Here is a 26319-nt window from a genome sequence, read left to right on the forward strand (position 1 = left end):
TTTATAAAAGAAACCACAATGTATTTATGCTGTTTAGCCTTCATAATTTCAAACAATTCTGAATTTGTTGCTTCAAATGAATAATAAATTGCAGACACAGGTATTAAAGCCATCAAGCATACTGGTTCACCATGTTGCAGACTTTAAAAAAATACAGGACAAAGGTTTACAATAACTATTTGTGCTAGCTAATGAAGAAACCTCTAGATAATCAGTTTTACATAATTTTTGTGTATATACATTTCAATCAGTAAATATCAACTACAAGGTTAGTGCAATTACACTTGTTAGGGCACAGAGAATATTGGTATTTTTGATGAAATTAAGTCCATGAATACATATAGTAAAATGTAGAGGTTTTCAATTGGTTTACAGGAAGTCTGATTTTTACAAAACTAGATTAATGAAAAATCACGACTGAAATCACTCTTTCAATAACAAAAGATATATTTGTATGGTAGCTAGTTTAATTGGATTTGTTTTTCAAATTTGGACATAACCTTCAACATTGTGTGGAACACAGTGAGAAGTATAATGATTTTTTCCTGAAAACCCTGTCTTTTACTATGCAAACATGCAAGCATCAGATTTTTAATCAAACCAATTGGCTGCCATCTGTGACACTGGCAGAAAACTGAAAGTGTTGATTTATTTATTACTTGGTTTTGTTGAAAAAACTAGGTGACTCATTTATGCTAACATGGGAATCTGATTCTCAATAACTTCGGTGTTTTGTTTGTCCTTAGACAATAGAGATAATATATTCATTATGTTTCCATTTTAGTTACCTCAAGGTAAAATTTATAGAACTGTTGGACCAATTGAAAAACTTACTAAAATATGGTTTTGGGACACCTGTTGGGAACATTTACAGATCATTTTTTGGATTACATTTAGTCTTTAGAAAATATTTGATTCAATCAAACAGCATTACTTGGTATGGTGTAGAGAAAACAAAAATGTCATAACAATTTCAGTTTTCAGCCTGTCTTGTAAGATTTAACCCAAGCTACAGTGGGAAAACCACATAATTAGTCAATAAATCATGAGCCCAAAGTCTATCCTCAACCAATCTAATCATGCACATGTGAAACAATATCAAAGACTAGAGAAACATAATTTATGACATGAGATTGAAGGTGACTCTGAATCAACAGAATTTTATTTTTCTTTTACCGTGGCCCAAGTAATGTTTGAAGTAACCTTGCTTGGGAAGCTTTGTTGAATTGACACAAGCACAGAAATACACCAATAAGCACATACCAAAGTCAATTCTGAAATGAGTTACAAAACTGTTCAGTGGTGGTCTTCCTATTGTAACAGCTGATTTCATGGCTATGTGGAACCATTGGTTGGACACATAAAATGAGAGTATGTAGATGCGAGCCCTTTGCTGCTGGCAAAGCTTTAAAAATATGTTATTATTTTGTTATTATCTATATTTCCTCATAGCAGCTCCTCTTAAAGACTGTTAGTCAGAACTCAGTTGTTTATAAAAGAAATAGTAATAACATGCTACCTGGGCTAAAAGCAGGAAGTTGAGGAAAGTTTATGTTTAATTTTTATTTTATTTTCTTCATCTGTAAATAAAGTCATATTATTTGTGAAAGACCAAGGCCAAGGATCTTGCCCCTCATTCTATAATGAGGTCATCTCATATTATTTATTGCAAAAATCCCAGAAATTAATTATATTTGGGTCTCATTGAAGGGCATGGGCCAGAGATATGCATACAGAAATTGTCCCTCTAGCCTTCCTTTCATGACATGCATGAACTCTAGCAGTGGCTAGAAGGAAATTAATGGTTTGGGAGGTTGAGCAACAGACTTTGAGAGTTATTATTAAGCATGCTACATATATCTGTTAGCTGTGAAGGAAGACAAAAATTGACCTTTATCCTACTATCCTCCTTCTAGCTATGGCTGAAGATAGCTCTGTTATGTCAAATAAAACCACAGATTTTCTTTTACTGTAGAGTTGAATAAGAAAGCAAAAAAAAAAAAAAAAGAAAAAAGAAAAAAAAAATCTATCAATCCTGAAAAGAGTGAATCTAGACAGATCATATGGTAAAAATACAAACTGAACTCCTTCAGCTAAGGGGTTAATCGGTCAGGGTAGTGCAGGTGGTGCATGCATTTAATAATAGTTTAAGATATTAAATAATTAAATAGGTAATGGGAACCACCTTTATTTATTGGCTTTTGTTGCTTTTTCTCCAAGAAAATTTGGAATGTTTTCATCTGACATAAATTATTTTACTTAGGTTATCTTTATTTGAGTGAGAGACTTGTCATTAATGTACAGCAAAATTTACAAGTCACCATTCTTCCAAATACAAGACTGAATTGTTTACAGTTTTTCTAAGTGTTTTTGTGTGTGTGTGTGTGTGTGTGTGTGTGTGTTTGTTTGCTTGTTTTTGTTTTGAGACAGAGTCTTGCTCTGTTGTCCAGGCTGGAGTGCAGTGGCATAATCTCTGCTTACCAAAACCTCCGACTCCCAGATTCAAGTGATTATCCTGCCTCGGCCGCCTGAGTAGCTAGGACCACAGGCGTGCTCTACCACACTCAGATAATGTTTTGTATTTTTAGTAGAGATGGAGTTTCACCTTGTTGGTCAGGCTGGTCTTGAGCTCCTGATTTCAGGAGTTCTTGGCCTCTCAAAGTACCGGGATTACAGGCATGAGCCACCACGCCTGGCCAGTTTTTAAAGTATTTCATACAGTGTAACTAGGCAGTCAGAAATACCTGTATCTCAAATTCATTTAACTTTTCAATGAATCAATCTTCTTATTTTCTCAGACATATAAATTATCATAATACTTTACATTGAGTCTCTATGGTTGACTATATGCTGTGAAGGAAGGACATAAATACATGTGAGGAAACAATTATTGATATTTTTAAACTAACTAGAAAGCACCAAGTTATTTGTTAAATAAACAAAGTTAATTTTATCTACCTGTTCAGTAAGTGTTGGCAACTATGAATTAATCTTTGACAAATTCACTTACAACTAGCAATTTTAAAGACTTAAAGTTTAATTTTTATTATTAAAAGGGTATGATTATTTTTACTAAAATTAATAAAAAGATTAACTGTTACTAAATTAAAGCTCCTTCAAAAACATAAATGTATTCTTTAGAGAGTTAAAAAAAGTAGCAATAAAATACATTTTTAATTTAGTTAAGCTTACTTAACTAATGATCAAATAGATTAAGTTGTATAAAATTTTACAAACTTTATATTTTTGCATACACTTATCTTCCTGGCATTTTTGAAATAAAAAAAATACAAGTGCATAGGGCAGAGGAGGCGATTCAGTTACTTCTGCTATGTTATTAAATCTCTGGTAACCACTATACAATACAATACAATACAATACAATACAATACAATACAATACAATACAATACAATACAATACATGTAGACTCAGCATCCAAACTTTATTTTACCTTCAAGTTCTACCTGATAAAGTGGTGGAATAAAGATGGTATTTTCCATAACTGTTTAATAATAATCACATGTTTTATACCCATTGCTTTGAAGAAGAAACCTTAAGCAACTAGAAATGTCAATCTAAAAGGCAGAAAAGCTGGAAAAATCTCATGAAGACTAGAAGATTTACACTCATAAGATCATGTAAATTTATTTGGATATGCTGAAAAAAGAGGGGGTATAAAATCTAAAGTTTGGTAAATCTTTGCTTTACAGGGCTTCAAGTTATAGATTTTTCTTTTTTCCTTTTCTCTTCCCCTTTCTCTCTCTTTCTCTTTTTTATTTTTGCCATTTCTTCTCAGGAGCCCCTGCAATTTCAAACCTTGGAATTGAATTGGATTTGAGGAGGAAAACCCATATTCAGCTTTAATTCAAATGAATTTTACTACTTTAGACAAAGGTACAACACTCTATTCAAAAAAGTTATTGAAATCACATCTTTAAATCTGACCCAGCCACTTGAATAAATAAGTTGTGTTGTAGTTTCTCAGAGCAACCGCCGCTCATCTTTCACTCACCTTAACAATTTCTCACTTTTTTCTGCTTTTTTTTTTTTTTTATTTTCTGCTTGCTGAAATCGAGATCAATATTCATTGTTTTCTTCTGGGTTAACTCTTTTTTATGTTAACTGAATCAATTTTGGCTTTGTTTCTTTATGAAATTACTTTTAGATAAAGTATTGATATTGTCATTTATCAATTTTATTATATGTCTTTTGCTTATTAAAGGATTAAAATCCACCTCTAAACTTATTTAGATCAAGGTCAGTTTTTTTACTCCTCTGTAGAACTGTGAAGATAATATCCTATTCTCCTTTTCTTATGGTTTTATTGTGAAGATCTGTGCAAATAGCTATATAAAATGCAATTCGGTATTAAAGAAAATTGTTGCACGGACTACATTGATTAGAGTCTAATTTTTGGAAAGTATACTTCGCCTTTTCAGTAATTTTATTTTTCGGTCTATGGTGCCCACATTGTGTCACCAGCCAGCCGTATGCAGACTTACAAAGGACTACCCACTAAGAATAAAAACATGATACAACTTGAAGAAATTTTCATCAAACGTCTTTGTCTTATCCCCTTGTTATACAGACAAAGATGACAAGGGCCGAAAAGGAAGTGATTTTCTCATTGAATAAGAGAATCCGAACTGGCATCGAGGATATCTAATTTTGGGATGAAAATTGAGAGAAGACAGAATTTCAAGTCTGAATTATGACTTCACTACTGTGTCGTCATTGGTAGAATAAGGATAACAATACTTATCACACAGATTTGTGGTCTGAATCACATGAGAGACATAGATGAAAAATGTAAAACAACAATTAGCATGTGACATGCTCTCAGCAAATCAATTAATCCTTCATTCTTTTTTTCTCCCCTTACTCCTTTGATTTTCAGACTAATTTGGATCATGATTATTGGCCTGTGTCCCACCCATTATTCACATATAGAATGGGTTGCATTATCCTCTCCTTGGAAATATCTTTCAAAGTGGGTAATGAGAAAACTACTTTGAAGACTGTGCTGAAGGAAATGATGGCATGAACAACTCTAGATAATTTTTGTTTATTTGGATATAACGTGAATGGGCCCATACCATAAACTCCTATTAAGCTGAATCACCAAAAAAAAATTTGATATGAAAGTCATACATTGAAAAAATTCACTCTTACCACTGATTTGATTGATACTGAGCCTGTAAATATTTATTTATATGATGTTTGGCACTTTATTTTATAAAACTACCCTTTACTTAAAATAAATCATTGTATTCACATAACTTTCCAGGGCACTATGCATTTTTAAACAAGACAGTCAACTTACTATTTAAAAAACAAAGTCAGTCACCTAAATGACTTTCTGACTATAAATTTGAAAACAATATTCTCCTTGTAATATATGTGCCACCAGGGCAAGAATTACAAATTGGGAGCAGGTAAGAAAATTGTTGTTGACTCTCATTAGTATTCTAATTCTCCTTCAGTCAGATTTATAAAGTATGACCTATAGCATCCAACTCCATCATTTTCCAGTCATTCTTGAGACTGTCAACTCTATGGGCATTGTTTAGCAGCCTCGAAACACTGAACTTTTTACAGTCTTATTGGAGAGAAAAACACATTAAATGATCAAATAATCTTTTATGAGCTCAGAAAAAAATGCCTAACATGAACATTTAAGCATCTTCTGTTTCTGTGATTCCCATTTTTGGAGAGTAAAAATTTAAGAAACAAAGGGAATGTGTCTGGGGATGGTACTAATAATATTGAGATTTTACAATTTAGGTTATAATCAAGATAATTATGTATATATATAAAATTATATATGGTATAGTTTCAACTTCTAATCTTTTATCATCCTCTACCACATAATTCCTCCTATATTCTCTTTTTCTGACTGTGGCCTAATACCTCAAGAATATTGTATATGCTTGTCACTATATAAACTTCACCCTAAGGAAATTTCCATGTCAGATACAATAAGAGCAACGGAAGAAAATGTATCAAAACACATCTCCAATTTATTTGAATTTTTCTGGCCTAACCTTGTTGGCATGAGAGTTCCCACTTTGTATTATAATAGGCAAATTGATACACACTTTTCATTTATTCTAAATAATAGATTAGCATAGTCAGGAGGCTTGGATTGGCAGCTATTAAATACAATTTGAAGCCGTGGGATTTTATTAGGATTCTAAGGTTATTCTGTGACGATGGAACTTAATGATGTAAGAGTTAATTACCCATTGTCAAAAATCATTGCCCATCAAAGCAGTGAGACTGTGTGCTATGTCCAGTTTTATTCATTTCTTTTGTGTATCTGAATGGAACATGTGGTAAACACAACAGTAGAATATACCTACAGTCCCCTTAGAAACTCTTAAATCTTCAATTTATAAAAGTCATCCTAAGACGTTAAAAATAACTTACGAAAGGATAGATTCCAATGTCAGTGGGTGAGATGTGCTCTAGCTAGTGTGCACGAAAGAGAACATGGAGTTAGAATAATTATTGTAGGACTGTAGATTGTCATCTCAAGATCAGTGTCAAATACATTCATTCATGTAGTATTTTCACATGCATTCTGGTCTAAATATCCCAACATATCTTTCGTTTTGAGATCTGCAGAACAAAGTCAATGTCTGAATTTAGAGACTAATTTGACCATTTTGATTCAAATGTCTAAAGGCTAAACCAGAGCAATTTACAACATCCAATGAAGTAAAATTATATAATTAATTATATAATTATATAATTATATAAAATTTTATAATTAATTATAAAATAAAATATTAACAATAATTGAACATTGTTTACTTTTTTATCCTCACAACAATTCAACATGATATGTATGGTTATTACTAAATGTATAATACATTTAGTAATGTGATTTGACAAATCACATTTGTCAAATAAGGAATGGCTGAATTAAATGATTGAATGAAGGAGTGAAGGATGTAGATTGTTTAAGTACATTCAACTTGTAATGAACTGTAAACTTCACCCATAACATTATTAATATATCAGTGCTATCAACTACATTTTACATAGGATGAAAAAAATCATTATTTTTATTAATCCCAAGATATTTTATTTCATTATATAAATGAAATATTTTATCTGTTATAAAGACCTTTATTTTTGTTCCACTCATTAAATAACATGGTAAGACTGTTGTGTAATTGACTGAATAGTTAAGTCTAAATGGGTAAATAGCTGTTTATGTTAGTATTGCAGGGTAGCTATTTGATAATGAAATATACTTTTCTTACCTACTTGCAAAAAAAATTACATAAACAAGTATTTCCTAGAGTTCAAACACTGATCTTTTTAAGTGGCAAATTGTCCAAAAGAATTTAATTAATATAAACAATAAATTCACTTAAACAACTATTTACATGCAAAAGTAATATTTTTATTGCCCATTTGGAAAATAGTTTTGCTTTCTGGTTTATAAGGAACTTTTACTAGTTTAATTACTTGGGTGCTTTAAATGTTTTTTGGAGGCTATTACAAAATCACATCCTAAAATTTTAAAATGGAAAAATTATAATAATTGAATTTTTAATTCCTCATAAATATTTTAAAAGTACACATTGTTCCATGGCTTTTGCCTTTAGAATAAATACAACATTTTTATGTAGAAATATATTCTTGAAATGTAACTAGCACATAGTCAGTGTTTCTTAACCATTTTGGGGTCCTGAAACTTTTTGATAATGATGAAAGCACAGAGATGCTATCAAGAAAAATTTACCCACATAGGAACACACACACATACACACAGACACACACAGAGTTTGCTTATAAGCTCAGGAAGCTTAAAGATCTGCTAAAGATTATGCTTGGGTTTGCCATGAATCATAAATACCAAGTCAAATACCTTTGAATTTGATTCTTAACAAATCTTTGTGGCTGAGAAACCATGAGATTTCATTCTGGCATGTCCCCAGAATGTAATTATCAATGAACAATAGCCATTGAAAAAATCTGAACAGATATTATTGAGGCTCAAGGTTGTTTAATGGCACAGATAATATAATTCAAATCATGACCCCAGGGCTGATGAAGTCTTGTTGTAACGTGTAAATGGGGTGGGTGATGGGAGAGAGAAAACAAAATAATTATTTATGTTAAATCATACATAAACAGTAAAGCCAACACAATAAGTAAAATAAGAGAAAGTAGAATGCTTGGGAGGTCATATGTTTCAAATGTATGCATACACAAAAGAGTAAGCAACAGGATACTTCAAGAGTAAAATGGGAAAAAATCATATTGGGTAAATAGTATCACCCCAAAGTGATAGTCAAAAGTACCTATGTTTGCCTAGTTCTCAGATTACAACTATGATGATAATTTAGATAAACAAGCAGAAAACAAAACTATAGAAAAAAGTCAAAGTGACATAAAACAATTACTGGTGTTTCAACAGAAATAAACCCAACATCAGGATTTATCAAATATATGAAAAATTATGAAAGATTATAAAACACCAATGATTAGATTATGTTATAAAGACACTATGAAGAGATACTAAATGATATTCTTTTCATCTGTGGTTACTGCTAAAAAATTCTTTCATAGAAATTCTTGGATTTTGAAATTAGTTTAATTCCAAAATATTTTCTTTATTTTGCAAAAATGTAAGACAAATGTATAGGATATTTTTCTCTGTTGTTATGCAAGGATTTATTATCACATTGGCCACAGAACACATAGAATGTTAGTTTTGTAGAAAATTTTAGAGATTTTAATACCAGGATGAAATAATAGTATCATTCTATTTCAGGTTCTTAAGCAACATTCCTAAGACTAGAACCTTATCTTGAAAAATTATGATTTTAAACTTAAGGGAATTCAGGTAAAGGAAATTGACTAGGTTAAGGCAAATACATCATGTTTACTGGTAAAGATAACATTATTTAAGGAAGGTAAGATACTCTTATCCTACATATACGCCAGAAAAATTGCTTCTCCTCTGAAAACTACCATTATTTTTGCCAAATATTGTAGCTTAGTTTTAAGTTTTTCTCGGCTGTTTCCTCTGACAGTTCTGTGGTAAAGAAGAAACATTATAGGAAGCATTTTTTTTTCCTACAGAGTCTGCCATATGGAGAAGTAGAATGAGAGGCCACCTAGGTAATGTGATTTATTAAAAGTTCTCCATCCCAAAATATATGTCCCATCTGTGGGCTAATGTCTGAAAGTCCTATGATTAAACTCACTTTTATGTAAGATAGTGAGGCCCCAGAGAGCCCTCGAGAAATGCAAATAAACTATTACTGACCTCCCTTGGATTATGATGAAAACCGTGGAGTCTTTCTATTCTCTGTCAAATGTGGAGGTCATGGATCCTTCTTGGCACCTAAGATTAAAACTCATAGAATGTGCTTTAACTTCTGTAGGCACATTTCCTTTCCAATTAGAGTGAGGTGTTGAATATTTATTTATTTGTTTATTTTTATTATACTTTAAGTTTTAGGGTACATGTGCATAACGTGCAGGTTTGTTACATATGTATACATGTGCCATGTTGGTGTTCTGCATCTTAAGAGAAGACTATTTATAAAATTTATTGCTTGTAAGATTTGTTTTTTGTTCTCTTACTATTATGAAAATCACGAACTTGGGAATAAGGACACTCTGGGCCCGGCGCGGTGGCTCACGCATGTAATCCCAGCACTTTGTGAGGCCGAGGCGGGAGGATCACGAGGTCAGGAGATCGAGAGCATCCTGGCTAACAAGGTGAAACCCCGTCTCTACTAAAAATACAAAAAATTAGCCGGGCGTGGTGGCGGGCGCCTGTACTCCCAGCTACTCGGGAGGCTGAGGCAGGAGAATGGCGTGACCCCAGGAGGTGGAACTTGCAGTGAGCGGAGATAGTGCCACTGCAGTCCGGCCTGGGCAAAAGAGTGAGACTCTGTCTCAAAAAAAAAAAAAAAAAAAAAAAAGGACACTCTGAACAATTGAACAAGACTACGCTGAAAGGCAGAGAAGAAGTAATTATGAACAAACTGTTCATGAAGTGATCAATTGAATTTGAAACAGAACTTTTCCTAGCTTCTAAATGATTAGAAATTTCAGCTTTGGTTTAACTTAAAAACTTAGAATTGTCAATTCTGTCCAAGTCTCTGAGTCATGTACAGAACTCAAATTATTACATCATTTTTTTACTTATCTGTATTATTTCTCCATTTAAAAGTGGACAAATTTTTATACTATATCCTAATAATGATACAAGGTGACTTGTAGGACTCTGGATAGAAAGAGATGGCCCAGGATACAGAGGGCACTCCTTAAATAGCTGCCAAATAAATGACATTAAAAAATGTATAAAAAGGTATGTTAAGTAATTAAAAGTGTCAGGCATTATTTTCCTATTATGAGACATTTTATATTATGGTTATTTACTGTAATTGCATCCAAAATAATTCATAAAACATTTATTTTTGTACTATTAAAAATCTAAACAATAATAACCAGATGGAGGAAAATGATACCATCTGATTTAATTATTAACTTGAAGGTCAGTTTCTACAACTTATTCTCATTTATGTTTATCTGATTTGGCCACAGTTTCTTACTTTCTCATATTTTGCTAAGCTTGTGGATGAAGCCGCATGTCTCTTTTTTTTTTAACCTGGCATATAACACTGTCACTCTATTTAATTATTACCCATCATCTACCTACTTTGAAACTTTGGAGGTTTTATAAAAATTATGAGTATTTAATCAAAGTTGTCTCTTTATCATTTGCCAGTGAAAATATAAAACCTGGCTGTTTTATTCTATTGTGCACTCTAATTACATAACCAAAATCTTTTTAAAAATTCTTAGTTCTTTTAGAAATACCATTTGACCCAGCCATCCCATTACTGGGTATATACCCAAAGGATTATAAATCATGCTTCTATAAAGACACATGCACACGTATGTTTATTGCGGCACTATTCACAATAGCAAAGACTTGGAACCAATCCAAATGTCCAACAATGATAGACTGGATTAAGAAAATGTGGCACATATACACCATGGAATACTATGCAGCCATAAAAAATGATGAGTTCATGTCCTTTGTAGGGACATGGATGAAGCTGGAAACCATCATTCTCAGCAAACTATTGCAACGACAAAAAAACCAAACACTGCATGTTCTCATAGGTGGGAACTGAACATTGAGAACACATAGACACAGGAAGGGGAACATCACACACTGGGCCTGTTGTGGGGTCAGGGGAGGGGGGAGGGATAGCATTAGGAGATATACCTAATGTTAAATGACGAGTTAATGGGTGCAGCACACCAACATGGCACAGGTATACATATGTAACAAACCTGCAAGTTGTGCACATGTACCCTAAAACTTAAAGTATAATAATAAAAAAATTCTTAGTTATTTGAAAATAGTTTTTTTGAATTCACAAACTTGCAGGATGAAAAAAGTTATTAGTTCCTGAAGATATAACATTGATTTGTCTTTTTCTTATTTGATATCAGCTAGCAGTAAAATTGTGAACAAATCTGGTAAATCTTTTGGTGTTGCAGGTTCATAATCAGTTAATTGAGTGTATTCACTATAAATTGCTTTAATTAAGTGATGTTTGCCTAAGAACAAGTTTCATTTCATCTCATGAAAAAAATGTTACTTTTTGTATTAATCAGTGGAATGTTTAAAGAAAAAACTGGTTATCTTGAAGCTGTCAAATAATTATAAGAAATCTCTATACATTACGTTTTAAAATACATAAAACCCATAAATTCAAGCTTATTAGTTTTCATTTTCAGCAAGGTTTATACAGAGAAAATAAGTAATACAAATTAGTTTTCCAGAAAATCTAATTTTATGCAGATAAAATCTGAAAATCATATAAGTCCAAGATGAAACTGATCTCAAATTATTATTTTGAGGTGTATCCATTTATTTAAAAAAGCCTCATTTTAGCTAGCAACACTATGTAGAAAAATATTTTAAATAAGACAGAGCATTAAAATAATGTATTCATTGATCTCATAAAGAATAGATGATCAGATTTTTTAAAAGTGATTTTAATTAAATGGACATGTTTCTCTTTAGCCAGAAATGACTGAGAAATTTTGAGTTGGAATTGATATAGGGGAATCCTTGGAACTATGTGTGAATATGTGTGTGTGAATTATCTGTGTATATTTACATAATTTACACTATTCACAGTCCTTGTTTTTCTTGACTCAAATAGCTATCTCAAGTTTCGTACACTTTTTAGATCTCTATGTAAATACATTATTTCATTTGTGGAAATATATTGAGGCCTATATCAATAACCTCAAACCTTTTAAACACTTAGAGCAAGTCAATATGACTTGTTCTGTTTCAGCTATCTGAAATTTAAAAATTTGACAAATTTTTAAAGTACCCAGTTCTTGGAAAAAGAAAAACAAATAAATTGGAGATTTGGATCATATGGGCTATGACTAAATGAGACAAGGCATACATGCTGACATTTGAAGGATTTATGAAAAAAAGTCCACTGTGGAAAACTGATAGTTTTTCTCCTTCTTTCTTGAATATGTTTAGTTAATTTTGTGGAAAGAGGAAGGCAGCTCAGTTTACAAACAGCAGTGGGTTGAAGGCAATGCTGTTTATATTCTTGAATTTCAATATCTACAAAGATGTCATCATTAGATTTTATGTGTTAAAAAGTGGATTTATAGTCTCTAATTAATAAGGTGCATATGTCAAGACTCAGGAAAACAGATCACTTACGTAGTTCTCCAAAAACGAGAGTCCCAGATTCAATAGGAAGGCATGCAGAGTGTTCTCTATAAACCCAGCAAAACCATAAAAATTGACTGGAACTTTTATTTTTCAGTACAACAATAATAGTATTGAAATACCTAAAAAGGGCAGGAAACAACACAGAATAATCTACGCTTGTCATCATGTTTTCTAATCTATAATCTTTCAAACTGGATAAATGGGAAGTTTTGGAATTTTACTGTGGTACAGTCTTAGTTGCTCCGTGGTTGTCAAATCTGTCTGCACATTAGGATCACTTAGGAAGAATTTTAAAAGTATGCTGATGCCTGGAAACTCCAGAACAATTATGATAACTCTGAGCATGGAGCTCAGGAATGGGTGAAATTCTTCCCCAGAGATGTTAATGAACAGCCAGACTTAAAAACTAGTAATTTAGACAAGTGTGAGCAGAGGTTAATAATGTTGAGATGAACTGGGCTTAATATTTCACTAACAAGGTCAGAGTTTTGATACATCACTTAACTCAAACTTTGAGATTCTTCATCACTGAAGTAGCAATAATAATAGTCATTTCTGTTTTAATACTTCATAGACTTGTAAGGATGTAATGTAGTGTTTCTAAAAGGAGTGAATGGACAATCTGCATCAGTGTTAACTAAAATACATTGAAAGTGCCAATTCCTAGATCTATCCTAGATTTACAGGGAAGAATTCAGTAGTCTGAAACACACATTTTCAATATATTGAAAAGATGATTCTTTTGCATGATGACTTGTTATAATCATTACTTTCATAGGTAATGGAAGTACCGATTAGGAGAGTACCAAATACATATTAAACACTCAGTTCATGTAAGCTATAGGCCAATAAACACAACTTTGGGGTTTACTGATGTTTTCCAACATCCGAAATAATAGCTGAAATTTAGAAACATAGTTAATCACACAAAAAATGTTGCATACATACTGTCTAACTACCAGTTTGGTATGTTTGGGGCTGGTGTTATGAAAGACTATTATATGATTAATACAAAGTTATAATTTTTGGAGTCTTTTAGTGTACCCAGAGCCCATGAGTTTTTATTTTCTTTTTGGAATAACAGAAATTAGGTTGTGGTTCAGTGGAATTACAGAAGCAAGTGTTTTAGATGTTCAAGTTTAAAAAATGAGAAAAAAATGTTTTACATGAAGAAACTAATTATTTAAATTCATTTTTCAACTATTTAATGTTATTTTAATATAGTCATATCATCCAGAAAATCCCATCTTAGACAAATGGGTTTTCAATAAATTATTATTATAGTTAGGAGGCAATGTATAATAGTGATAAGGGGCATAGATTTTGAATTACACAAACCTGAAATCCAATGCTCTCTCTTTCATTTATTAGTTATGTGACCTTGGACAAGTTAGTAAAACCCTATTTTTCATATGCTCTTTAGCTTTTTTAATACCTCTTACCTTATATGGTTGTTTAATCTATTAAATAGACAGTGAAATGCACATGAAATCTTCACACAGTGTCTCATAGTTGCTTGGAACATATTTATGTAGTAAGCATTGTTCTTGGCTGAGCTTACATTAAGTGATCTGTAAATTAGAAGTTATTTGTTATATTTGTTTCGTTTCCTTATTGCCCTAGATGCCTTTTCTCTGGACCTAGATAATTTAGTCTCACTCTGTGGCCTTTACCCTTCAATAAATATGGATTATTAATATAATTTAGCTACATAATTCCTAAGGAAATATTAATTCATAAAGATTGTTAAATTGAACTGAATATCTTTGCTAAGTCACAGGCATTGATTAAATTAGATAAAATTGTCATTTTCCATTGATTTTGTTTATATAAATAATATTGAATTATTTATATTCTTATTTAGTCTAGTAGATTGACAGGCAGTTTTATTAAGAAATGAATCAAATGGTAAATTTTGAATCATCTGGTAAAAATGGACAAAATTTAGTTTTATCTTGTGGTCTGGAAATACACCCTAAATTATTGGGTCAAGTTAGTGAAAACTGTTAAATTGATTATGAACGTAGGCACATTACTTATAAATCCCCTTATGCTAACTTAAAACTTGTGAATGTTTAGTGTTATCCAGCTATAATTCTTCTAAACATGTCTTGTAATTTTTAAGTTTGCATGAAAATAACTCCATCCTGAGTATACTCATTTCAATAAATTATTTGTCCTGAGCATACTGTAAGAAATTTAGTAAAGTACTAATTGAATTTAGTGATTAGACTGTGATTAGACTATTACAAATTCACAGTGCTTGTACAATTCAGATATTATTTTGCTTTGAAGTCAAATAGAGGAACCTTAAATAATTTAAATAAAAATAATTGTTTTTATTAAAGTTTATACAGCAAGATAATAAATTCACTAATGTGAAATGTTGATATAGTATGTACAACTTGTTTCTTAAGTTACTAAAAATGTATTTTCCTACCTACATAATGTCAATCTCTATTGCTCCTAACACATGAGTGGCTAAAATTGCAAACTTAATCACATAAATAATGAGATTAAAGTTAAAATGAAAAAGTGGTATGAGGACTATTGTTTGTGTTAAGTGAAATTATACCTTGTAAAATTTCATATTATGAGAGCAATATGTAAATTTCATTGCAACAATGGTTATTCAATTTACTGATGAAAATCAGAAGAATGTTGAAAAATTAGTGCATTTATAATAAATTTAATTATTCATAAAAAATTAACATTGATATATATATTCATAAGGATAAAAGATATCAAAATAATTAAACAAATTTCACTTTCTTCTTATAAAAGAAAATAATTTTTATGGTAACTAATTTTAGTAGTGCATCAGATCAACACTATTGGGCACCCAGTTATTTGGTGGTACGCTGAGTGAAAATATGTAGCTTTATCTACATTACCTTGGTTTGGACAACTGAAAAATTTGCTAGGAAACAAATATTACAAAATATGTTGTTAACTTTTCAAAGATGATCGGTTTAGATTGCTTTAACTTGAAGGACACTTATATTTTGTATCACTTTTGTAGCAAACACATGACTCATCATTGCCCAAATCAATTGCCCAAATCAATTCAAACATCTCATTGTAGTTCATCCCATGGCAGAAAAGTGTTTATCCACTTAGTAAAATGGAAAACACTAGAGCTTCAGGTTTAATTTGAAATTTTAACTTCATTAAGAATAAACTTGACCTGTTTGTTCTAGTAAGTAAAAACACTAGATACGTACCAAAATTGTCTTTTGACCCTCTCAGGGAGTCAAGTTTTGATTTGCTTGAATACAAGCAAGTCGAGCTATGGTAATTTGCAATGCTGACAGGAAAGAAGAACTTGCTTGAGGCAAAATCATGAAGTACAACTTTTCCTCTGCATCCTTTTACCTCATGTTTGTAACATTTCCCCTGTTGTTATTTTTACACATCTGGATGCTCAGAAAGGCCTCCTTACCACAATAATTGAAAGGAGTACTTTGTCAATAGTCAGAATTGAATGAGAGATAGGTTGTTGGGAATATTCAGGGTGAATGTGTCTTTTCTACTTTGACTATATTTACCATTGACTACAGTAACTCAGCAGAAAGTTAGAGGGCAGCATACATACATTGGTTTATGGATTTAATGAAAATATCCCCAACCATTACATTACAGACAATTCATATATATGTCTTGAAAATCTTCTTGACAATTTGTGACAAATTTTCTAAATGTTTTTCCAAAAATAGTTGGTTCTTGTAAGTGATTTTGATATGACTGATTACCAAATTATGGTGGGTAAAGATGCCACATGCAACAGAAAATGTGTCTAATTATGTTTGTTTTAGAGCTTAAGAAATGTTAAGAAGAGAAGTTACAACTGCATTAATAGGATTTTAATTTTTATTCAAAATGGACAACTTATTTATTATGTACTTCTACACACAGCTAAGCTTATAGATATTTTCATTTAAAGAAAAACTATTTGTTCATTTTATTAGCAGATATCAAATGCCCTTTTGAAAATTGAGACTGATTTCTAAAACAAAAAAAAAGACTTTAGGAGTTTTAATTATTTTTAATATATTGCTTCTTTATTAAAAAAAGATACAATCCTTCAATGTCATTCAACAGTATTAATTGTTAAAGTGTGGGATATAGTTTACATTACCGAGTTTATTTTCTAAGGGTAGTGAATAACTCCTGACAACTACTGATATCGTCACATGGTCCTTTAGTGACCAAAAATGCACAGTTGTAAGAATGCAAGTGTTACTTGTATTGAAAACCGGATTACATTAAAGGATGGACAATTATGATAAAGGATCTGAGATAATTGGACAATTATGATAAAGGATCTGAGATAATTATTCTAACTTTTTGGAACTATACTTTCACTCATTGATGAAGTAAGTTACAACGTGGAATAACAAAGTTTAAGTGTGGCAGAAAATACATACATATGTTTAAAAGTAGGGAAAATTTTATCAATTATTAAAGATGGAAAAAATAGGACTATGTCAAATAGTTAAACAAATGTGGGGTATTTTATGGAGAAAAGAGGCATGTACTACCTTAAACATTTTCCAATTGGAACATACTATAGACAAAACTGACAGATTATTATTCAATGAGAAACCTGACTCAGATGAAGTTACAAAAAAAGTACTTTTTAAATGTCTAGTTTCTAATAGAGTTAGAGCTTTGTTGATTGAGATATGTGGAACTGCCACATATCTCTGTGCCATACTTTTGGTACCTTCATAATAAACGGTAAAGTGAGGGAAAGGGTGGAAGAGACAAATCCTACGTCTCTTCCAGAACTTCGAGTGCACTATAAATTAAATATTTAAAATATTTTTGCAATAGTTAGCTTTCAATTATGAACACTCTCAGCCTCTATTGCTTTATATATGCATTTATTTTGGTAATTTTTATACATCAAAACTATAATTACCTGTATTTGGGCAGAATGATTTAGGTTATGCCAGCTATTGTGGTTAAAGCTGTAGTAACTTACAGTACATTGAAATTATAGACTAAGGTTCTGAATATTGGTAACTCACTGTTGTTGTGCACCTTTAAACAACTCTTAAATAAAGTAATGATTCTCTTTATATTAAATTTAATGTATGTGTGCCTCATGGAAATTTGTATTTTATAGAAAAATATTGAATATTTTATTATTATGTCTTTGGCTCACCTACTTTAAGGAGATGGCTACTTAGGGTACTTTTTAATCCAATATAATGTGAAAATTTGATCATGCTATATTCTTAATTTAATTGTACTTCTATGGTCATATACAATTTACCTATCACTTTCTCACATAATCAATTTAACTTTTTGGTAAATCTTCTAAGAGACCGTCTAGACAGAGTGAAATGAAAGCTGAAACAACAGTCAAATCAAAAACTGCTTTGGTCTCAAATCCATGTTTTTCAGAAAAGATATTCAGATCCAGTTATCTGGCAAATGGTCTCAAACATACATTTCAATTTCAATGTTAAAAATAGGATATTAAACATCTCAGAAAATATTGGGATTATTGAAGCAAATTCTACCCTGGACTTGGAGTAAATGTGATGAACAGATTAATGAGGTGGAAGGGACTAGAACTTTGGGAAAGTGCAACCTTGTTATCTTAATATTTTTATAGCTTAGAAAGAGAATGCTATGCAACTCATATTTTGATCTTTTAATGTTAAAGAATTCAAATAAAAACCATAAACCTGAAACTCTAAAAGAAAAATTCTGTTTTGAGAGAGATGGCCTCCTCTAGTACACTTTTAATAAATTTAAAGTATCTAAAAGGATGCACAAAGATCTCTAATGTGCTGTGATTTTCAAAGGATGTCATGTATAAAAGATTTGAGTGAGAACATGAAAGCAAAAGCAAGTTCAGAAGAGGAACACAACCAGGAGGACAGTGTGTCAGGAAAATCCAAGAATAAGTGGAGGTGTAAAGGCTAAAAAATAATGCAAATGGTGCATATCCTTCTGTCTTTCTCTCATACACACAGACACACTTACACAACACATATACAAATACATACATGTATATATGTATATATATACACAAATATACACACATATTCACATAATATTCAAGTATGTATACATATATACACATATGTACATACACATATGTATATATACATACACACAGATTGAGAGATTAACCATATGTAGATACACACATGCACATATGCAATAATGAAATCATTTCAAAGCATGCCAAAAAGTAATAAAAGATATATCCTCTGTTTGGGATAAATAAAAAAAAAGTTTAAAAGCAAACAAAAAATAAATGGCAATAACTAATCACATTGAATTTTGTTATGGCCTTTTTCTTCCTAAAAAGAATAACCCCAATCTGAACAAAGAAATTCAAAGTAATGGAAAACTCAACAATGAAACTCAAAGTAGACTAGCAGATAAGATACCTATTTCAAACATCAGTGCCAAGGTAATTTATAGGTCAGTGCATTGATAACTTTTGCCAATGATAGAAAAGATGCCAGAGAACCGGATCCTGACATTAAAAAAAAAAAGTAAAAAGATTCTGAAGACTGCATTTCTGAGCTTAAGGTAGATTCTAAACAACATCTTAGAAACTAGGAAATGACTTTATGTTTCTTTGTTTTTCAATGTAAATGGATCAAGATTTCTTAAAACAGAAATGAATATTATTATTTGTGATGAGAGCACTAGGGGCAATTTTGATATTTTTGATAAGGTTTCTAGAGTAATAAATTAGAATGACAGGAATATATATTGATTTTAGGAAAGTGTCTGTATAATTCCACATGATATTCTCTGGACAAAATATGAAAAGGTAGGCTGAATAACATTTTTAAAGGGCAGTAAATTTTATAATTGTTATTGATTACAATGAAGGCCTCTGGTAATGTTTTCCAGGGTCATATCCTGTTACATATACGTGACATGGATAAAAAGGAAACAAATATTTATTGTGTGCCTAGTTTATGTTATCTCAATTCCAGCTCTACAAGGAGCTACAAGGTAAAATTGCTACCTTTAAAAACATATGAGGTAAAATTATTCCTATTCACAGATGTAGAAACTGAGTTTCAAGAAGGTTAAGTAAATTTCCTCATATTGGGAGGCTGGTAATGCAGAACTGGGTGTCAAAATCAAGTCTGTATGAACCTTCTGTTTTGTCTCCCATGAAGACAAAAGGCATGCATATAAAATTTGTTGAAACACAAAGCTGAGGAGGCATAATAAGACGTGGAATGACAGAAGCAAGATCTAGAAAGTTTGGGATCATGAATCAAAAGAAACAGGATAAAATTATCCTAAAATTAATATTAAATCTTACAAGAAACCCCCCAAAATCAGTTGAATTTGTACAAAACGGTAAATCATTTTATCAGTAGATCCCATAATAAATATTATAAAGTTTAAGTGTGAGCTCTATTACTCAGTAATATGATGCCATTACTGTGTTGATGGATGTATTGTCAAGGAAAAAGAAGAGAATTACACACTGTTTCCTTCAATTGTTAGATGGCACTGGATGTAGTGTTTTCAATGTTAATCCTGGTATCATGTTCTTTGCCATAAACTTGTTGACAAATTGGCAAATACTGACATGAAATATGCCAATATTTGAGCATCTAAAAATGTAGGTACTTTCCATACCACATCATATATTACAATTTGAAAATGTTTGTTTCATTTTTTATATAATTATTATACAGAACAGTTTTTCTATGATAGCATTATAAAAATTCCCAGAGAATACTGGCCCAGTAAGAAATGGAATGTTCACAACTCATAGTGTAGCTATATGAAAGAAATAGATCTAAACGACAGGTTGGTTTCCAAATTATATTTTCATACCTGGAAAATATCTACTTTATAAATAGCACAAAGTTATAGTTTTCAATGAATATGAAAAAGTTCTTGCATTAACATATTTTATGTATCTTTTATATTGACATTTGTGATTGCCACTAAAATGTGTATTTTCTAAATTTCATTGTGCTTTTACAAGATACTTTTTTCTTTGATGTCCATAACTGCTGAAAAGGCTCCCCTAAGGAGAATTTTAAGACTAAGTAAGGTTTTTAGTGAGCTTAAATTATACAATTCTGAGGCATTATTTAAGGTGCATACTGTATTTTTTGCTTGAAACCTGTCAGCATTTTATTTGTATGGCAATTAAATGACTCAGCCATTCATGTCTCATGCCAGTCTTTTTCAATTGTTATTTTTAACAAAGAAAATTATATATATATGTATATATATATTATATATATGTATATATGTATTATATATGTATATATATATAAACTTACAGCAAAAATGTTTAAAAATAGCAAATAGTTTGAGTATAGTTAAACCTAATAACTGTACTTTTGTTTCTATGCCTCTGAGACAAGATTACTAGACCCTTATTCAAAGTTTCTAAATATAGGAAATAGAACATTGGGCCATGCTAAAAAAATTGTTCAGATTTTCTTTTGAAAGAGAATAGTTATTTTTCCTCCTGACCTCTAATGAAGATGCTTTATTTGTCAAGGTGTTTTCCTTAGAAAATTGACCCAGTGTCAACTGTAAAGAAAACATAGAGGATCCTTGGATGATTGACCAACTTATCCAAACACAGGTTTAGTAAAGAGAGGATATAAAGATAAAATGTGAAATGACCTCTCTGAGTCACATTTGTTTTCATAATTTCCTAGCAAACATCCAACTTCACTGCTACCCTCAGCAATGTTTCTTGAAACATTTTTAAGACATTGATAGACACCAATAGCTGATCTTTAGAAAGCCATTCCCAGAAGAATATGTAAGGGGTTACAACTCATTTCAGGGAGTCTGCCTAGCTCTTGATATTACATGTCTTTGGCATACAATTGTGTACCTTTTATCATTGACAGTGAAGAAAATAATGCCATTTGTAACTTCTGAGATATACACACAATACTATCAACTAGCCGGTTAATAAAAGATAAGAAAAATAAAGAAAATAGAACATTTTTAGGTGTCTGGCAAGTATCCTCTAAATCAAGGTAAAGATAATAATTTAGTGGCAGTGTTCATATTTTCCTATGACTGTAAGATTTAGGTGCCTCACAAAATATTAATATTTAGCCTCTTATGAAAGGTTCGTTTTTCTTCTAACACTTTAGTAGCTGAATACAAAGAAAATACACAACAGCTGTTTATAAATGAAATAAAAAGTTTCCATTTTTTATCTGAGTTTCTCATTTATTTGCAGAGAACGAATAAAATAAAAATATCCTAGTGTTGTTTGCACCACAGCATACCAGTAAATCTTAAGGATTGTGTTTCAGTATGAAAAGGAAGAGCAGGAAGATTTCCTCATTCTGTCTTACCAGCAAAAGTCTAGCCTTCACACACACACACACACACACACACACACACACACACACACACACACACACACAGAGTCATCTATATGAACACGTACTTGAGTTTCTTAAACATATATGAAGCACCTTCCATTTCCCTTTATAATAAATCCCTTAGTTTTTGCTGTTCATTAAAAAACAAAAAGGAAGAGACAAGCTCAGGACATTCTGAAAACCAATGTCTTTAGGACACACTAAGGTGTCCTGAATTACTTTAACGGACACATTGTAAAGACACACTCTCCAATCCCTATTAGGAAAAGTTTAGTCAAGTTTGCTTACTATTTGGGTGCTTATACCAAAAAAGCATCATTTAGGACATTATTTAGGATAATATTATTTATGCAGGAATTGTACCACCTATTTCCAGATGGTATAACTTATTATCTGACAGGCATGTAGCAAATAGAACACAAAGCATAAATCTGTCAGGAGAAATCATACGAGAAAAAGAGCATTGTCTGGTTATCAGAATATCAGATCTCTCATTCTGGCCTTGCTAGGAAATAGATCTTTGATTCTAGAAAAGTCAACTAATTTCTATGGTTCTTACTTTTCTCCTTTATAATATACCCATTTAAATTCCAAAAAGGTATATGATAAATCACAATAATTTCAATCACATGGATTTTAATACAAAATGTATAAAATCAATTTCCAAAAATTTTCTGCATATACTGAAAATGTCTGTACGAATGAGCTAACTACTATAGGCCTTCCCTAATTTATTCTATTAAATGTGGGTACTCAATGTAACCTGAAAATATTGAGCTTAACTCTTCTTTTTTTTTTTCAAAAGGGAAACTTGAAAAAGACTGCTTCCCCCAGAAAATTTATCAACAATAGGTGCTCAATTAAATGTTTTTAAACAATGAACAATATCCCCTTTCATATAAATAATCAGGGGAGAGATATTTTTAAGTCTTTTTTTTCTTTTTCCATAGTGTCACCTACACAAAAAATTATGTAAAGACACCACTTCTATGAGGAGGTATTCATTGTAGATGTACAGAAGTCAACGGAAACTTAAGTTTACAGAAAAAATAAACCAGATTATCATTCCACCCAACTGTATATTCCCACAGATGCTTAATAAAAGCTATCTGATGATATAATGAATTATCAGTTCTTGAGGAAGTATATACAGTTGGTGACTATTTTTCAAAAATCATCATCCAACAAATTTTTTTCATTTAAAATCTTTCATATTACCCTTTCGACAATCAGTTGAAATTTTAAAACTAAGAACATTTAAAAATATAAATGAAAGTAGCATTAGCTATAGACTGATATTCAACTTCAGACGTTAAAATAAATACAAGTGTGTATTAAGAGTAAAATTATGTCAACAATGTATAAATGAAAACTGCCAATGTAATTAATGTTTCTTTTAACATATCCCATCCATTGCTTTCCCTCCAAAAGACAAAGGTAGCAAAAGACGAAGCAGGAAGAACTGCTTCAGAAACTGAACATACTGATTTAATTGGCTAAGAAGTCCAAATGCTAATACTCCTAATAATTAGCCATTCCTTTTGTGTTTTGGTGACATATATCCTCATACAATGTATATCAAATGGAATTTTTTGATTTACACCTGACATTTCAAAGTTTCCATTTTTGAATTCTCCTAGTCTTAAGTAAGTAGAACATTGTCTCCTTTGTTTGCTAGGCATAACGTTTTCCCCAACATCTAGGGCTCCATGATGCAAAATATCATTTTGCCGATCTTCTGTTCCAGTATTTACTTTAATTTTTTTTATTATAATTGGATTTTCAAATACAATCACAAAAACATCTCCTGTTGAAGGTGGTTTCCCCCAAAAGTACTCATCAACACTACTGTAAGCCTTGCTTGCTTCATAATTTTCAAACACATTCATGTTGGTGTACAGACTTGCAGGGGGGTTATCAGGAATGTCAAATGACTCCTCTTCAAAATCATCATCCTTCAGCTTATTCTCCGTCCCTTTGTATGATGAATAATAGCCCATGTGCTGAAAGAGAGATGGTTTAAAACGGATCACATTTTTCTGAGCCAACAGACCACGGAAATGAGTCAATAGCCAATCACAAGGCATTTCTTGATAAAACATTAATAAAAAATGGGCCAAACGTGGGAGATCATGAGAATGATAGAGTTTACCAATGTAGCCAAGCTTAGAGAATTCAAGAGTTACCCAGTAAGTTCCTTCTAGGGATGCAATGACTTTCTTGATGGCAGTTAAGAAATTTTTTGAACATCGAACATCATCTTCAAGCATTACATAATAGTCTGAAGTATTGGCACAAAAATTAAGCAGAAAAGCATAATCTACATTTTGCTTGGAACGAAATTTGACTCTATCTTCTGGATCATTGTAATTTCTTTTAAGGCCATCTAGGATTGGGTAATACTCCTCTGGAGCATGTATAACCATTAATCTTCCTGCAATAATATGGTGCGCAAATTTCTGTGTAATATCCTGGACCATGGCATCACGCCAGGAAGAATTAAAGTCTGCTAGGTGAACCACCACTGAAATTTCCTTCAGCTCTTCATAGCTGGATTGCTCAAAAATTGACTTAATTGTCTCAAGTAAATAGTTTCCTTTTTTTCGCTTTACTGAAGAAAGTCCAATTGTAAGATACCCTGCAAAAAAGAATTCAGAAGCAATACAAATGTGAACTAGAAATATGGAAAAAGTAAAAGAGAGAAGATATTTATTCCTTTGACTTGCTACTTACTACATATTAAGTAAATCTAGTAAATGACTATGCACAGAACATTTTATGATTAAAGTAATAAGCTAAATATATAAAGGCTGTAAGTGCTTAATACATAATTTATATTTTCTATGAAAAATAAATAGCACCTTAATCACAATAATGTATGAGCCCTATTGCTGTGAACATTTACTGATGAAATTCTAAAAACATGGTTTAAAGTGTTCTGCAGCTTAATATTCTCATATACGCCCATTAGAGAAGGTAGACAGGTACCTAGATAACATACAAGTTACTTTTTAAAGATAAAGTAAAAAAAATGCTTTTTCTCTTTTGCAAAAAGAGAAGGGCATTCACAGTTAAGGCTGACAAACTAGTTTCAAATGATACAAAAGAAAAATAAGGGTAAGTAAGTCTTTCAATCATCTTTAAATTTTTTATAGAACACATCACATATTTTCAGTTTTCTTTTTTTTGCTGTCATTATGTTGTACTAGAATTCGTAATTGGACTTCACAATTTTATCTTGAAATGTACATAGTATATTAATTAGAAAGCAAACAATATTATAAGACACATTCAAAAAACTTTAATGCTACATTGTTCCAAGACATAAGCACCACTTTAAAAAATTTTGAAACACACTTTATAGTAATTTTGCCTGAATAACTTTTTATTCAGACATTTATAATCTAAAATTAGGAATTAGATATGTTTAGAGAATAAAATAAAACCCTGAGAAAAGACAGCTCACCTCTGAGAAGGGTTAGAGGTCTTTCTATTGAAATATTTTCACTTTTTAAAGCTCATTCTGATATTAATCAGAATTGAATAACATTTCTAAGCCACTATTTAGAAAATGGGGAAATCTATATACAACAAGATCATCGTTTTAATATAGCACCTGTATAATGCGGTTTGTATGATATTGAAAAAAGCCCCATTCCAAAAACAGTTTGTCAGAGAGATTGTGATTTACACATTTCGTTTAAATACCTTGGCTTACAACTCAGACTTCTATTGAAACACAATATGTTATCTAGTACCATTAAACTTGAAGCCACCAAACTTCATTAATAATAGCCAATGCTTATGGAATGCTGTCTACATAAGAGGCAGGAGTTTGGGCATTTTATCTGTAATATGCATCTTAAATGTTCAAAACGGTCTTTTGGGATAGGTTTGCTATTACCATCATTCTGCTTTACAGATAGGGACACTAAGTCACGGTGAGATGAGGTGACTCATGCAAGGTGGTACACTTAGTAGGTGATGCTGCAACAGGATTCAAACTGTCTCACTCTTTTATCCTCTGTGTTACATTGCCTCTGGTAGAAAGCAGTTGGCATGTGTGCCAATAAACATTAGTAAATTTAGCATGGGAAAAGGTAATCAGTAATGTTCAAGCAAAGGTGGTGTAACAGAGATGAAAAATGAATGGCAGTCTTAGACAATTAGAAAGAAGCCTAAGAACAGTAGAC

The 26319-nt window shown here is 31.4% G+C and overlaps 1 protein-coding gene across 11 annotated transcripts in view; it reads right to left on the reverse strand.

Moving 5' to 3' along the window:
* MGAT4C (MGAT4 family member C) overlaps window positions 1-26319 on the reverse strand; it is an 883334-nt gene continuing 857015 nt past the window's right edge. For 10 of the 11 annotated variants that reach the window (NM_013244.5, NM_001351286.2, NM_001351285.2 and 7 more), the window contains one exon: window positions 1-24764. In NM_013244.5, the coding sequence (NP_037376.2) occupies window positions 23623-24764 (1142 nt within the window). In that variant the 3' untranslated portion in view covers window positions 1-23622. The remainder of the gene's footprint in view (window positions 24765-26319) is intronic. The other variant, NR_147093.3, reaches the window with a different exon arrangement.

This window comes from Homo sapiens, chromosome 12 (genome assembly GCF_000001405.40).
Source record: "Homo sapiens chromosome 12, GRCh38.p14 Primary Assembly".
Taxonomy (NCBI): domain Eukaryota; kingdom Metazoa; phylum Chordata; class Mammalia; order Primates; family Hominidae; genus Homo; species Homo sapiens.